A 16,921-nucleotide genomic window follows, 5' to 3' on the forward strand; every position below is an offset into this window, starting at 1 on the left:
ATTGTCTTTGGGTTGATGCAGAGAAGGGAAAGATCATTCCTAGTGGCCCTGCTCCTGTTAATGTCTGTGAAATTGCTTTGAAAGAAGTGAAAATCGGCCGGGCGCGGTGGCTCACACCTGTAATCCCAGCACTTTGGGAGGCCTAGGCGGGCGGATCACAAGGTCAGGAGTTTAAACCAGCCTGGTCAACATAGTGAAACCCTGTCTCTACTAAAAATACAAAAAAAAAAAAAAAAAAATTAGCTGGGGGTGGTAGTGGGCACCTGTAACCCCAGCTACTTGGGAGGCTGAGGCAGGAGAATCGCTTGAACCTGGGAGGCGGAGGTTGCAGTAAGCTGAGATCATGCCACTGCACTCCAGCTCGGGCGACAATGCGAGACTCCATCTCCAAAAAAAAAAAAAATAAAGAAGTGAAAATCTGGCCAAGCATGGTGGCTCTGACTAAAATCCCAGCACTGTGGGAGACTGAGGTAGGCAGATTGCTCGAGCCTTGGGCAGCATGATGAAACCCCATCTCTACAAAAAATACAAAAATCAGCCAGGCATGTGAAAATCAGCTAGGTGTGCCTGGGGTCCCAGCTACTAGGGGGCTGAGGCAGGAGATCCATTTGAGCCCAGGAGGTCAAGTCTGCAGTGAGCTGTGATTGCGCCACTGCACTACAGCCTTGGTGACAGAGTGAGATCTTGTCTCCAAAAAAAAAAAGCTATATAAATGGAGTATATTATTAGCACTAGGGAGGAGATAGGAGCATTCCTTGCAAAATAAACCCACACTTAATGTGCTTGTACAAGGAGTGGTCAGATCATATATAAGGCTACTTGTTTGACTAATATTTGTGAAAGTGCTTTGAAAAAAGTGAAAAGCCGTGTAACTACAAGAGAATAGTTTTATTATCATTGTTACTCTTAGGGAGTATCATTTATGGGTTATCATTTATGGAATAACCACATACTCATGCCAATACAAACTCTAGACAATTTTTGTCATGGTGACTTAGTTTTAATTTAACTGTTACTTTAAAAACTCAAAGCAATTTCATTTAATCCTTATTGTGATAAAGTGTGAGTGGCTAACTCTTCGTACAAAGAGGAAGTACTGCACATCAAGTACATAATTAAAATTGAATCATTTGCTCATGCTCAATCACATTTAGTAGCCAACTGTAGCCTAAGTCTTCTCTCCAGTTGTTAGGGCTCTTAATATTAACCTCCACTCAATAATGCTAGTTATTCTTTTTGTTTGTTTGTTTGTTTTTGAGATGGAGTCTCACTCTTGTCACCCAGGCTGGAGTGCAGTGGCGTGATCTTGGCTCACTGCAACCTCTGCCTCCTAGGTTCAAGAAATTCTCCTGCCTCAGCCTCCCAAGTAGCTGGGATTACAAGCGCCTGCCACCACGGCCAGCTAATTTTTATATTTTTAGTAGAGATGGGATTTCACCATGTTGGCCAGGCCTGTCTCGAACTCCTAACCTCAGGTGATCCACCCGCCTCGGCCTCCCAAAGTGCTGGGATTACAGGCGTAAGCCACTGTGCCTGGCCTAGTTATTCTTACTAATTAGTAACAAAAATTACTCAGTGAACCTCACAAAGGAAATTGGTGAAGAATAAGACAGGAATCCCTTAGCTCCCTGGTTTATGCACCATTAATTATGCCTTTTTTACTATTATTATTTAGAATTTCTGACACTATTAAGCTAATAGCAAACTGCTTTAAATTGGTCCATTTACTGATCTTTACACTGTTTAGTTAGCTTCATCAGGGAGTCTCTGGCAGCTGGATTCATTACTCATCAGTTTTCTAGATGCTAAAAAATTGTGTATCTATACAAAGTTAATATGTCTGTAAATTCAGTTTAACTCTGTTGTTTTCTTCATTATTTGGCTGATTTCTCTCAGTGTCTAAAACAAGTGGTCTGACCCTTCTTTAGGGGAGCTGAACTGTTGAAGAACTATCAGCTTTAGTTTCCTTTACTCTTCAATCTGTTCTACCAGGGTTGTATCAAGGTACTTTTTTCTCTGGATCTGGAATACTTTAGATCAATTCCTGTACCAAATAGGCTCATATTTCTGTGTATTTTATTTATGCTGGATTAATAAGCAATGACCATTGTAATCTCCCTACTCACCTACTTCTCTACTGGTTTATTTTCTCTTTTTTCCCCTTTCTTCTCTGGTCCCTAACTATTTATACTTTTATTCAGTAAACTTTTATTGTAACATCTACCTTGCCACAAAGAAGTCACAGGAAGTAGAGGCAGCTCTGCAAATAAAATGCAGTGTGATTAGTACTGTAATGGAGGTGTAAGTTGAAAGAGCTTCTCTCATAACCCAGAGGATATTCCCCAAAGTTCAGTCACCAATGTGCTTTTCTTCCCTTCATTATTCTGCATCATTATTCTACATTCAATTCAGACAGCTTTTCTACTTTCAAGACTTTAACTAACATTAACTATGCTGATGAGACTTATTTTTCCCCCTCTTGATCACTGACATGTCTCCTAAACTCCAATGGAATAGCTTTGAATGTCAATTAGACTATTCCATTTGAGAGTTCCTCTGAAATATCCTGTGTAACATGTCTAACATGGGGTTCAGTTTCTTGAAATGAACTTATTGTGTAATGTCTGCATTCCTTTCAGTGATATTGACATACTCATAATTCTCCAGCGTTAAAAATCTTGGTTTTTATGGTGGGGTTTCTCCTTTTTTGTTTCCTCATTATGTAATTGATTTTTCGTTAATTCTGCCTTTATAATATAAAATTCTTATTAATTTAAACATAGCTTACATTCTTCCCTTAATGATTCCTTATTTATTATTATATTAGGTCTAAGTACTTCAGACCAGAGTTAAGGCCTTCTCTCAAGAGGATAATCCCCTCTACTTTGCAGAATAATGCCCATTAAGATAGATAAGTTCTTATGTGTTTAAAAAATTGTCACTACATGTTAAATGTGTGCTACTGTCTGCATTGAATACTTATCTACTTAGGTATAATTCCATTTATATATTCATTTATGTGTATACTTATCCATTTATATAGAACTATTTCTATCATAAATGTCTTTTAGTGAAACATGATTGTTTCAGTTTGTCCTATTTGCTCAGCTCTGCTTCCTATTATGTCCTTATTCAAGTGAGGAAAGGAAAGTGGATGGAGGAATATGAAAAAAATCCATGTTTATAGATCTTTATTTTGCTGCTTTTTCCTCTTTCTTCTATTCATATTATTTTTATTTTTGTCTTTTTAAAATAGCTTCTCATTTCCATGTTTATTGACATAACTTAGCTCTTTATACAGTATGGCCAGTTATTTTAAAAAGATGTGCAAGTGTTTTTCCCAAATAAAATTTACAGCCTTCTTTTTTCTTCATAAGACTAGATAAGAATACCAGTCCTTGTAAACAGGGAGGACTGCTTTGCTGTTGATATATGGTTACATGGCTATGATAGTTCAGTTTTTGCCTCTTCCCTATATGCTACCCTTTTGGTGTCAGGGAGACTTTTTTGTTGTTCATTGTTTTGTTTTTTGGAGGCAGGGTCTTGCTCTGTTTCCCAGGCTGAAGTGCAGTGGCATGACCACAGCTCATTGCAGCCTTGACCTCTTGGGCTCAAGGGATCCTCCCATTTATAGCCTTCTGAGTAACTGGGACCACAGGTGTGTACCACCATGCCCAGCTAGTTATTTTATTTTTTGTAGAGATGAGATCTCACCATGTTGCCCAAGCTGGTTTTAAACTCCTGGGCTCAAGCGATCCTCCCACCTTGGCCTCTCAAAGTGTAAGGATTACAAGTGTGAGCCTTCATGCCCAGCCTGTTTATTTTCAAGTTTACTTTTGTCCTCTTTGTTAATTTGTTGGGAAAGAAAGTGAGGAGTGGTGCTTTTCATGGGTTAGAGAGATTGACAGGTCCAGACTTGCTCAACATTGAGTAAGAAACTCACAATGGTGAACTCTTGAATGTCTGACGTAATCAAGTTTTTTTTTTTTAAGTCTGAGATTCTTGTATTCAAGAATAAAAATCTATTATAATTTTATATCTTACAAAATCAACAACTCTAAGGCTCAGAATTTATCTAACGCTTTTTCCCCCGGGAGCTCATTTTGTAGACATGATCTCATTCATTCTTGAGGAGCAGTCAGACATAAGTGTTATCATCATCTCTGTTTCAGAGATGAGAAAACTGAGACTTAGCCTCATATACTAAGAAGGGAAACATTTGTAGACTCATAGGTTGCTGGTTATCCATTAAACTGTGAGAGACTACACTTAATTTTAAGCTTTTGATACATTCTAAACAGGCTGTTGTTGCCAAATTTACCTAACGCTTGGTAAGATTTTATAAAGGTTGGCTGAAGATCAAGACACGCTAAAACAGATTTTTGTTTTTTGTTTTTTTTTTTTTTTGCTTCCTTAATATTTCTTTACTCTTTTCCTTGTTACATTTATCTAATTGCACTTCACTATTGAGAACATGTTCAAGATTTGATGTGACAGAAGGGGATGGAAAGGACAGAAGTGGTTTTTACCAACCCTGACATATTCCTTTTCCTTTTGAACTTGGATAGATAAAACAGGAGGAAAAGGATAGCTCTTATTATTAGAGATCCTGGGAGCTGGCTCATTCTCTGGCTGAGTGGTACATAACTGCTTTTATTCAGCAGCCCATGAGAGCTAACCTGCCTTGTACCTGGCTGGCTTAAAATGCTTGAACTGTTACAATTCCTCATTGAGTAATCAGCTGGGCACTTACTGTTCCAACTCTGTCCTTCTGGGTTACCACACATCTTTCATCTTCTCAGCTGGGAACACAAGGAGAGTTGTCTCCCTATAGTGGTATAGTGGAATTTGGCTGGAATGGGAAGAGGGGATACTGTATTTTTTCTTGAGTAGACTTTATGGCTAGCCATTTAATACATTCTGAAAAATGGTCAGATGACATCACATAGAAAAATTACCTCAAAATGGATCAAAGAACTAAAGCTATAAAACTCTTAGAAAAGAAAGAAAGGTTTAAATCTTCATGACCTTGGATTAGGCAATGTTTTCTTGGATATGACATTTAAAGCACAAGCAACGAAAGGAAAAGTAGAGAAATTGGATTTAATCAATATTAAAAACTCTTATGCTTCAAAAGATGATACTAAGAAAGTGAAAAGATCAATTATACCTAAAAAAAAAAAAGCTGGAAAATGAAGGTCTCTAGTTCCAAAACTCAGAAAAAAAAGGTGAATAAATAATCCACAGATAAGAAAAGTCTAGTATCCAGTGTACATATAGAACTTATACAACAACAATTAAAGGACAAATAGCAAAATTCATATGGTAAAGCCCCAACCCCCAGTGTGATAGTATTTGGAGATGGGGCCTTTGGGAGGTAAGTGGGGTTAGATTAGATCATGAGGGTTGGGCCTTCATGAGATTAGCAGTTTTATTTATTTATTTATTTATTTATTTACTTATTTTTTAATTTTTATTTTTTGAGACAGAGTCTCACTCTGTCGCCCAGGCTGGAGTGCAGTGGTGCAATCTTGGCTCACTGCAAGCTCCACCTCCCGGGTTCATGCCATTCTCCTGCCTCAGCCTCCCGAGTAGCTGGGACTACAGGCGCCCACCACCACGCCCGGCTAATTTTTTTTTTTGTATTTTTAGTAGAAATGGGGTTTCACTGTGTTAGCCAGGATGGTCTCAAACTCCTGACCTTGTGATCCGCCTGCCTCGGCCTCCCAAAGTGCTGGGATTACAGGCGTGAGCCACCACGGCTGGCCTGAGATTAGCAGTTTTATAAGAAGAGGAAGGGAGAGAGAGATTATTCTCTTTTTCCCTCTCCCTCCCTTGTATCCACCAAGGAAAGGCCATGTGAGGGCACAATGAGAAGGCAGCTATCTGAAAGCCAGGAAGAGAGCCCTCATCAGGAACCAAATCAACTGGCACCTTGATCTTGGCCTTCCCAGCCTTCAGAATTGTGAGAAATAAATTTCTCTTGTTTAAGCTACCTAGTTTATGGTCTCTTGTTATGGCGGCTTGAGTGGACTAAGACAACATTTATCCTAAAAAGATACACACATGGCCAGTAAACCCATGAAAAGATAGATGCTCAGCATCATTAGTCATTAGGGAAAAATGCAAGTCAAAAACATAATGAGGCCAGGCACGGTGGCTCATGCCTGTAATACCAGCGCTTTGGGAGGCTGAGGTGGGAGGATCACCTGAGGTCAGGAGTTGGAGACAAGCCTGGCCAACATAGTGAACCCTCATCTCTACTAAAAATACAAAAATTAGCTAGGCGTGGTGGCCGGTGCCTGTAATCCCAGCTACTTGGGAGGCTGACCCAGGAGAATGGCTTGAACTCAGAAGGTGGAGGTTACAGTGAGCTGAGATCACACCACTGCACTCCAGCCTGGGTGACAGAGCCAGACTCTATCTCAAAACAAATGCTCCACACACCAGTGGTAATATGAAATTGAAGTTTTTTAAACTCCATCTTCCCCTTTACTTCCCTCTTCTCTTTCCTGACACCCCTTCTGGCCTCCTTACCCATCGTTGGCCACTTAGCATAGTATAATCCCCTGCTGCCTTGACTTTCTACTTTTTCTTTCTTATCAGTCTCCAGGCTTGGGTAATCACCATTATTATTATTTTTTCATTCTTATTTCCAAGCTGCCAAGTGTTACTTGTGTAAATCATAAAACTGAATGTTGGGTACGCTATAAATTTAAGGAGAATTTCTAACTTCTTGGGGTTGTTCAGTACTCTTATCTTGTTTATTCTTTTATATAATTCTCATAGTGTATATTTCAAATTACCTGACACTCAATAAATGTCTTTACCTTCTATTTTTCTGAAAAGGTTGAGGTTATCCAAATGGCACTTCTTCTGGATTTCTTTTTTTCTTTTTTTTTTTTTAGAGATGAGGTCTTGCTATGTTGCCCAAGCTGGTCTTGAACTCTTAGGCTCAAGCAATCCTCCCACCTCGGCCTCCCAAAGTGCTGGGATTACAGGCATGAGCCACCATCCTCAGCCATTCCAATTTCTTTTTAAGAAATTTAAATTTGAGGCTGGGCGTGGTGGCTCACGCCTGTAATCCCAGCACTTTGGAAGGCCAAGGTGGGCGGATCATGAGGTCAGGAGATTGAGACCATCCTGGCTAACATGGTGAAACCCCGTCTCTACTGCAATAGAATGTGGCTGCCATGCTGGCTTTGCAACTTCAAGAGATCCTCTGCACCCTTACACTTCTCAGCCAATTTGTGGAAGAAGTGGCCAGTGCCTTCCAGTGCCACATCATTGTGGTCAAAATAGAAGCCCAGAATGAGAGAGATGTAGGAGGCCTACAGATACAAATTGACCAGGCGATTGACAGCTGCCTCCAACTCGATGAAATAATTCTGATGAGTCTAGTTGGCAAGAAGGAGCTAACCACAAAAACAGTGTTGGCTGGTCTCAGAAGCAGGAGATGGCCGAGAAGATGGTCCTGGAGGTTGCAAGTGGAGAGGACAGTGGAGGGCAGTTGGAGGCTGGAAGAGAGGGAGTCCCTGGGTTTGTTCCATCCAAATACTATTGAAGCAAGAGACAGATGGGTGGGACTGTCAAATGCACTGCCAGAACATCCATGAACAGCTCATGGTTCAAGAAGTAATTTCAACTTTTAAGGCTTATTATTTAGGAAATACATTTTATAAGACTATAGCTGCCATAGATAGTGAGTAGAGTCAATTAAAAACCTTCTGGAAAGGAGTCACCATTCTAGATGCCATTAAGAGCATTCGTCATTCATAGGAGGAGGTCAAAACATCAACGTTAACAGGAGTTTGGAAGAAATTGATTCCAACCCTTATGGATGACTTTGAGGGGTTCAGTACTTAAGTGGAAGAGTTAACTGTAAATGTGGCCCGGCCAGTAAGTGGTATTTTTTTAAGAATTTCATTTTCCAACTGTTTCTTGCTAGTATTTGAAATACAATTGATGTTTATATATTTTTCAAGCTTGCTAAACTAGCCTGGGAAACATAGCAAGGCCCCATATCTACAAAACATTTCTAAAAGTTAATTGGGCATGGTGCTGCATGCCTATAGTCCTAGCTACTCAGGAGGCTGAAGCAGAAGGAGTGATTGAAACCAGGAGTTGTAGGGTGCAGTGAGCTATAATTTTGCCACTGCACTCCAGCCTCGGAGACAGAGCAAGACCCTATCTCAAAAAATAAAAATCTTGGCCGGGCACCGTGGCTCATGCCTGTAATCTCAGCACTTTGGGAGGCTGAGGCGGGCAGATCATCTGAAGTCAGGAATTCGAGACCAGCCTCGCCAACATGGCGAAACCCCGTCTCTACTAAAAAATACAAAAATTAGCTGGGTGTGGTGGTGCGTGCCTTTCTTCCCAGCTACTCCAAAGGCTAAGGCAGCAGAATCAGCTGAACCTGGAAGGTGGAGGTTGCAGTGAGCTGAGATCATGCCACTGCACTCCAGCCTGTATTGTTAGATTTGATTTGCCATAATTTTATTAAGAATTTTTGCATCTATGTTCACAAAGGATATGTGTAATTTTCTTTTCTTGTAATGTCTTTGTCTTTTTTTGGTACAAGTAATACTGGCCTCATAGAATGACTTTGGACATATTCTCTGTTCTTCAATTGCCTAGAAGAGTTTGTAGAAGATATTATTTCTTCCTTAAATATTTGGTACAATTTCTTCCTTAAATATTTGGTGCAAATCATCAAGGAAGCCATCTGGGCCTGATTTTTTCCTTCCTAGGAAATATTTTAACTACAAATTCAATTTCTTTAATAATTATACAGTCTCTCTCTCTCTCTCTCTTTGAGACATGGTCTCTGTCGCCCAGGCTGGAGTATGGTGGGGCGATCTCAGCTCATTGCAGCTTTGACCTCCCTGGCTCAAGCGATCCTCTTGCCTCAGATTCAGGACTATAGGCCTGCACCACCACACCTGGTTTGTATTTTTTGTAGAGACAGGGTCTCACTGTGTTGCCCAGGCTGGTCTGGAACTCCTGGGCTCAAGCGATCCTCTTGCCTCAGCCTCCTAAAGTGCTGGGATTATAGGCACGTACCACTGCACCTGGCCTTTTTTTTTTTTCCTGAGTGAGCATGGGTAATTTGTGTCAAGGAATTTGTCCATTTTATCTAAGTTATTGGGTTATTGACATAAAATTGTTCATAATTTTCCTTATTATCTTTCTAATGTTTGTAGAATCTCTAGCAATATCCTCTTTCTTACTCCCTGGTGTTGGTTATTTATATCTTCTCTTTTATTTTCCTTGATCAGTCTGGCTAGAACCAGGTTCTTCCTGTTGTTCTATTTCATTCATTTACACTCTGATCTTTTATTCTTTCTTTTGCTCGTTTGGGGTCTTACTTGCTCTTCTGTTTCTAGTTTTATAAAGTGAAAGCTGCAATCATTGATTAGAGACAGTTCTACGCTAAAGTCATAATGACATTTTATGTAATTTCTTTTTTCTTTTTTTTGAGACAGAGTCTCGCTCTGTTGCTCAGGCTGGAGTGCAGTGGAGTGATCTCAGCTCACTGCAACCTCTGCCTCCCAGGTTCAAGCGATTCTCCTGCCTCAGCCTCCCGAGTAGCTGGGATTACAGGCCCCCACCACCAAGCCCAGCTAATTTTTGTATTTTTAGTAGAGACACCATGTTGGCCAGGCTGGTCTCAAACTCCTGACCTCAGGTGATCCACCAGCCTTGGCCTCCTAAAGTGCTGGGATTCTAGGTGTGAGCCACCATGCCCAGCCTATATAATTTCTTTAATAGTGCTAAAGTTTTAAATTTATATTTATTATTACATCTAGTGAATCTGGAGTTTATTTTTGTTTTGCTTTGCTAACCAGCTGACTTTAATGGAGTTTATTTTTATTTTATTTATGATGTAAGTTAGGAATCTAATTTAAATCCTTTTCCAAACAGATTGCTACTTGTCCCAACTCAGTTTATTATTGAATAGTACTTTACCCAGTAATTTATATTATTATTCTGTCATATACTAAGATTCTATATATGCTTGGGTCTGTTTCTGGGTAATCTAGTCTTTATCTCTGTGCCTGGGCCAGTATTGTAGAGTTTTATTTCCTAAAGCTTTAGAATAAATCTTGCTATATGATAGGGCAAATCTCTCCTCCTTGTTTTTCTTTTTCAGAATCGTCTTTGGTGTTTCTTTGTTTTGTTTTGTTTTGTGCTTTTGACAAAGTCTCGCTGTGTCACCCAGGCTGGAGTGCAGTGGCACAATCTCGGCTCACTGCAAGCTCCGCCTCCTGGGTTCACGCCATTCTCCTATCTCAGCCTCCCGAGTAACTGGGACTACAGGCGCCCGCCACCACGCCTGGCTAATTTTTTTGTTTTTTTGTTTCTTTTGTATTTTTAGTAGAGACAGGGTTTCACTGTGTTAGCCAGGATGGTCTCGATCTCCTGACCTCGTGATCCGCCCGCCTTTGCCTCCCAAAGTGCTGGGATTACAGGCGTGAGTCACCGCGCCTGACCTTGTCTTTGGTTTTTAAAACCTTTACTCTTGGCTATGAGTTTTATAATTAGTTAAGTTCCAGGCTGGACATGGTGGCTCACGCCTGTAATCCCAGCACTTTGGGAGGCCAAGGCTGGCAGATTACCGGAGGTGGGAGTTAGTGACCAGCCTGGCCAACATGGTGAAACCCTGTCTCTACTCAAAATGCAAAAATTAGCCAGGCATGGTGGCGGGCGCCTGTAGTCCCAGCTACTCCGGAAGCTGAAGTGAGAGACCCACTTGAACCCAGGAGGCAGAGGTTGCAGTGAGCTGAGATCGCACCACTGCACTCCTGCCTGGGTGACAGAGTGAGACTCTGTCTCAAAAAAAAAAAAAAAAAAAAAAAGCTCCACAAAAAAATCTTGTTGTGATTTTCATTGCTATTAAATGGAATTATAGATTAAGTTGGTGGCAATGAACATTTTTAGCATTGTTTTTGTGAGATGATATATCTTGTCATTTATTTAGATTTTTCTTTTAAAAATGTTATTTAATTTTAGTTGTCACACTTTTAAGAGATAGGCACTATAAGGGAGAATAAGGGGCTCGACCAAGAGCAAATGGCTATAAGCCAAAGTCTGCCTGACTTTAGAGACCATTTTGCCAGGTGTTATTATTTGTTCAAAATATTGCCTGCTCTTCTCCTGGGAGATTTATATTTTTTGCCCTATGAGTATAAGGCTGGGTCATGTAACTTGCCAGGGCCAATGAAATGTGAGTGGAAGTGACATGTGTCGCCTTCCAGGAGAAGCTTTAAGAGTCTATGTGTATTTTGCTGGTAGCTTCTTTTCCTTTGCCATGAGGCTAGGATGTCTCAGATGAGGGGGTACTCCTTTAGCCCAGGTCTTGCTTAGATGTGGCTCTTGTTGGCTTTGAGTTCACTTATGGTTCTGCAACCTCTTAACTGGCTTCTGGAGTTCTCACAAAAGATAATTTGATATTGCTGTTGAGTTGGTTTTTCTGTGGGGGAAACGAGGACCTGGGGCTTCCTATCCCGCCATCTTGCTGATGGCATTCCTATTTAGATCTTTTATGTTAACACTTTAAAATTCTTTTCATAATGGTCTTAGATATCTTTTGCTATATTTATTTCTATAGTCTTATAGTTTTTGTTGCTATTATGAATGATATTCATTTTTTTCAACCCTACTGAATTCATCCCTTATTAATTTGGATAATTTATCTGTGGATTCTTTTGGATCCTCTATATGGGCACTCAAAGCATCTCTAAATTATGACAACTCCATCTTTTCCTTTTCAATCCTTATATGGCTTCTTTTTTTTTTTGAGACAGAGTCTCACTCTGTCACCCAGGCTGGAGTGCAGTGGCGTGATCTCGGCTCACTGCAACCTCCACCTCCCGGGTTCAAGTGATTCTCTTACCTCAGCCTCCTGAGTAGCTGAGACTACAGGCATGCACCACCATGCCTGGGTAACTTGTGTATTTTTAGTAGAGATGGGATTCTACCATGTTGGCCAGCCTGGTCTTGAACTCCTGACCTCAAGTGATCTGCCTGCCTCGGCCTCCCAAAGTGCTGGAACTACAGGCATGAGCCATCACGCCTGGCATATGGCTTACTTCTTTTCCTTGTCATATTGTATTGAATAGAATAGTACTAGTATTAAATAGAATAGCAGGGGTAATATTAGGCATCTGTCTTGCTTTCCTTAAACAAGGAAATTAAACAAGGAAGGATTATTTAAAAGTCTACCACTGGCCGGGAGCAGTGGCTCATGCCTGTAATCCCAGCACTTTGGGAGGTCAAGATTGGAGGATCATTTGAGGCCAAGAGTTCGAGACCAGCCTGGTCAACATAGCAAGTCCCCATCTCTTAGAAGAAAAAAAAGTCCATTATTAAGTATATTTGCAATAGTTTTTATACCTGCTCCTGTTAAGTTTAGGAAATTATTTTCTATTCCTAATTTGCCAGCGTGTTTGTTATGAATGAGTGCTGTATTTCCTGAAATGCTTTTTCTAGGCCAGGCACAGTGGCTTATGCTAGTAATCCCAGCACTTTGGGAGGCCAAGACGGGAGGACCACTTGACTCTGGTAGTAGAAGACCAGCCTGGGCAGCATGGCAAGACCCAGTCTCTACAAAAAAATACAAAAATTAGCTGGGCATGGTGGTGTGCAGCTGTAGTGTCCCAGCTTCTTGGGAGCCTGGGACAGAAGGATAGTTTGGCCCCAAGAGGTGGAGGCTACACTAAGCCAGAATCATGCCCATCATGTTTTTTTAATACTGTTGTAATCACTATATCTATATATCTATATCTATATATCTATATCTATATATATCTATATATCTATATCTATATATCTATATCTATATCTATAATGTTGTCCTATGTCTTTTTTTACTTAACATAAGCATTTTTCATGTTATGACATAGTCTTCTAGTCATTATTTTAATGGCTAAATTATCCATCAAGATGTATCATAAATTAGCCATTTTTCTATTAATAGACATTTAGGTTTATTCTTTTTTTTCCCCCATTATTATGAATAGCAGGATAGTTTAGTGTCTAGGAGATTATACTGTGTGTTCTTGAACAAGTTTTTGATCTTTTGAAAGCACCTACCTCATAAAATTGTTTTGAGGATTAAGTGAAGTAATACGTATAATGCATGTAGCACAGTGGTTATTCTGAATACACAGTTCTCAATAAGTGCTAATTAATATCACTGGAATGAATATCTTAATGCATATAGCTCTTTACTATATTGAAAATTTTAGGATTAATTTTATGAGATAGAATTAACTTGATCAAAGTCTGTGTACATTTTTATGGCTCTGAAATTGCTTTGTAAAAAGTGTTGGCCAGGCGTGGTGGCTCATACCTGTGATCCCAGCACTTTGGGAGGCTGACATGGGTGGATCACTTGAGGTCAGGAGTTCAAGACCAGCCTGCTAACATGGTGAAACCCCGTCTCTACTAAAAATACAAAAAAATAGCCTGTAGTCCCAGCTACTCGGGAGGCTGAGGCAAGGGAATCACTTGAATCCGGGAGGTGGAGGTTGCAGTGAGCCAAGATCACACCACTGCACTCCAACCTGGGCATCAAAGCAAGACTCCATCCCCCCAAAAAAAGTTGTGTCTTGTAATGCTAACATTTGTAGCAAAGTTACCAACTTCACCGTACTTTGCCAGCATTGGGAATTTCAATTACTTAAAATATTTAAGCTAATTTACAAGTTAATGAGATGGTTAAAAGTTTTAATTATATTTCTCTGAACCTTTTAATAAGTGTTTACCACCTCTATTTTCTGTTTTCTGAACTTTGTGTCTTTTTCTTTTCTTTCTTTTTTTTTTTTTTTAAGAGACAGTCTCAAACTCCTGGGCTCAAGTGATTCTCCTGCCTCAGCCTCCCAAATTGCTGGGATTACAGACTTGAGCCACTGCACCCAGCCTTCTCCATGTCTTTAGGGACAAACTTCTAGGATGAAATTTAGGATGAATTAAGTCATTAGCTTGACACCATGATGTACAAATCCCTGAATTTCAGTTTCATTGTTAAAATGCCATTGTTTCAAGATGCTCAGTTGGCTATGGAAAGATAGGTCATCTATCCCAGCTACTCAGGGGGATCTTTTGAGCCCAAGAGGTCAAGGCTACAGTGAGCTGCGATCACAGCACTGCACTCTAGCCCGGGCAACAAAGTGAGACTGTCTCCAAAAATAAAATATAAAATTTATATGGAAAGAAAAACCCAGAATAGCCAACGCCATATTGAAGAGTAAAGTCAGGGGACTGGCACTACCTGACTTCAAGACTTATAAAGCTACAGTAGTTAGCCCAAGGTAATTAATAGATTCAATGCCATCCCCATCAAGCTACCAATGACTTTCTTCACAGAATTGGAAAAAACTACTTTAAAGTTCATATGGAACCAAAAAAGAACCCGCATTGCCAAGTCAATCTTAAGCCAAAAGAACAAAGCTGGAGGCATCACGCTACCTGACTTCAAACTATTCTACAAGGCTACAGTAACCAAAACAGCATGATACTGGTACCAAAACAGAGATATAGACCAATGGAACAGAAAAGAGCCCTTAGAAATAATGACGCATATCTACAACTATCTGATCTTTGACAGACCTGACAAAAACAAGCAATGGGGAAAGGATTCCCTATTTAATAAATGGTGCTGGGAAAACTAGCTAGCCATTTGTAGAAAGCTGAAACTGGATCCCTTCCTTACACCTTATACAAAAATTAATTCAAGATGGATTAAAGATTTACATGTTAGACCTAAAACCATAAAAACTCTAGAAGAAAACCTAGGCAATACCATTCAGGACATAGGCATGGGCAAGGACTTCATGTCTAAAACACCAAAAGCAATGGCGACAAAAGCCAAAATTGACAAATGGGATCTAATTAAACTAAAGAGCTTCTGCACAGCAAAAGAAACAACCATCAGAGTGAACAGGCAACCTACAGAATGGGAGAAAATTTTTGCAACCTACTCATCTGACAAAGGGCTAATACCCAGAATCTACAGTGAACTCCAACAAATTTACAAGAAAAAAACAACCCCATCAAAAAGTGGGTGAAGGATATGAACAGACACTTCTCAAAAGAAGACATTTATGCAGCCAAAAAAAACACGTGAAAAAATGCTCATCATCACTGGCCATCAGAGAAATGCAAATCAAAACCACAATGAGATACCATCTCACACCAGTTAGAATGGCGATCATTAAAAAGTCAAGAAACAACAGGTGCTGGAGAGGATGTGGAGAAATAGGAACACTTTTACACTGTTGGTGGGACTGTAAACTAGTTCAACCATTGTGGAAGTCAGTGTGGTGATTCCTCGGAGATCTAGAACTAGAAATACCATTTGACCCCGCCATCCCATTACTGGGTATATACCCAAAGGATTATAAATCATGCTGCTATAAAGACACACGCACATGTATGTTTACTGCGGCACTATTCACAATAGCAAAGACTTGGAACCAACCCAAATGTCCAACAATGATAGACTGGATTAAGAAAATGTGGCACATATACCATGGAATACTATGCAGCCATAAAAAATGATGAGTTCATGTCGTTTGTAGGGACATGGATGAAGCTGGAAACCATCATTCTCAGCATACTTTTACAAGGACAAAAAACCAAACACCGCATGTTCTCACTCATAGGTGGGAATTGAACAATGAGAACACATGGACACAGGAAGGGGAACATCACACACCAGGGCCTGTTGTGGGGTGGGGGGAGGGGGAGGGATAGCATTAGGAGATATACCTAATGTTAAATGGCGAGTTACTGGGTGCAACACACCAACATGGCACATGTATACATATGTAACAAACCTGCACGTTGTGCACATGTACCCTAAAACTTTCATAAAAAAAAAAGAAACTGTGGTATTGGCAAAAGAATAGGTAAATAGTGTTTTTTTGCTCAATTTTGAGTATTTTTAAATACTCAAATACTTATAATTCCCTGCCTTATGAGATTATTTTTGCTCTGAAAAGCTAGCTGTCAAGAAAAATTCAAGGAAAAAAATAGTCTTTTATATTCACTTATTTATGATTTCTGGTGCTCTTCATTTCTTCCTTTATAGCTGGGTTTCCATCTTCAGCCTGAAGAAAATCCTTTAGCAAATCTTCTAGCAGCAGATTATTTCATCTTCTATCTTAAAATGCCTTTACCTTAACCTCATTTTTAAAGGATATTGCACTGGAATATCTGGCTTGATAGTTTTCTCCTTTTCAACATTTTGAAAGATGTTGTCAATTGTCTTCTGCGCTTTATTGTTTTTATTTATTTATTTTATTTTATTTTTTTGGAGACAGAGTCTCACTCTCTCACCCAGGCCGGAGTGCAGTGGCGTGATCTTGGCTCACTGCAACCTCTGCCTCCTGGGTTCAAGTGATTCTTGTGCTTCAGCCTCCTGAGTAGCACTGGGATTACAGACATGTGCCACCACACCTGGCTAATTTTTTGATTTTTAGTAGAGACAGGGTTTTTCCATGTTGACCAGGCTGGTCATGAACTCCTGGCCTCAAGCGATCCACCTACTTTGGCCTCCCAAAGTGCTGGGATTATAGGCATGAGCCACCGCGCGTGGACCTGGCCTTTATTGTTTATGGTAAGAAGTCAGCTGTGATTCATTTTATACCTCCTGTGTATATGATGTGTGCTTTTCCTCTGGCTTCTTTCAATATTTTATCTTTATCTTTGGTTTTTATCATTTTGACTATTATATACCTAGGTGTGATTTTCTTTGCATTTATCCTCCTTGGGGTTTGCTGAGCTTTTCACACCTTAATATTTTTCATGAAATTTTAGGGAATTTTGTTCATGGTTTTTTGATGTTTTTCTTGTCCTATTCTCATTTTATTCTCCTATCCTCCTTCTGGGACTCCCATTGCACATATTTTAGACT

General features: G+C 40.0%; 1 protein-coding gene and 1 pseudogene across 2 annotated transcripts in view; one reads left to right on the forward strand and one right to left on the reverse strand.

The window, feature by feature from the left end:
* TOP6BL (TOP6B like initiator of meiotic double strand breaks) overlaps positions 1-16,921 on the forward strand; it is a 98,748-nt gene that overhangs the window by 19,508 nt on the left and 62,319 nt on the right. The window lies entirely within an intron of this gene.
* On the reverse strand, positions 7,173-7,594 carry FTLP6 (ferritin light chain pseudogene 6; annotated as a pseudogene).

The sequence above is a fragment of the Homo sapiens genome, chromosome 11 (genome assembly GCF_000001405.40).
Source record: "Homo sapiens chromosome 11, GRCh38.p14 Primary Assembly".
Taxonomy (NCBI): domain Eukaryota; kingdom Metazoa; phylum Chordata; class Mammalia; order Primates; family Hominidae; genus Homo; species Homo sapiens.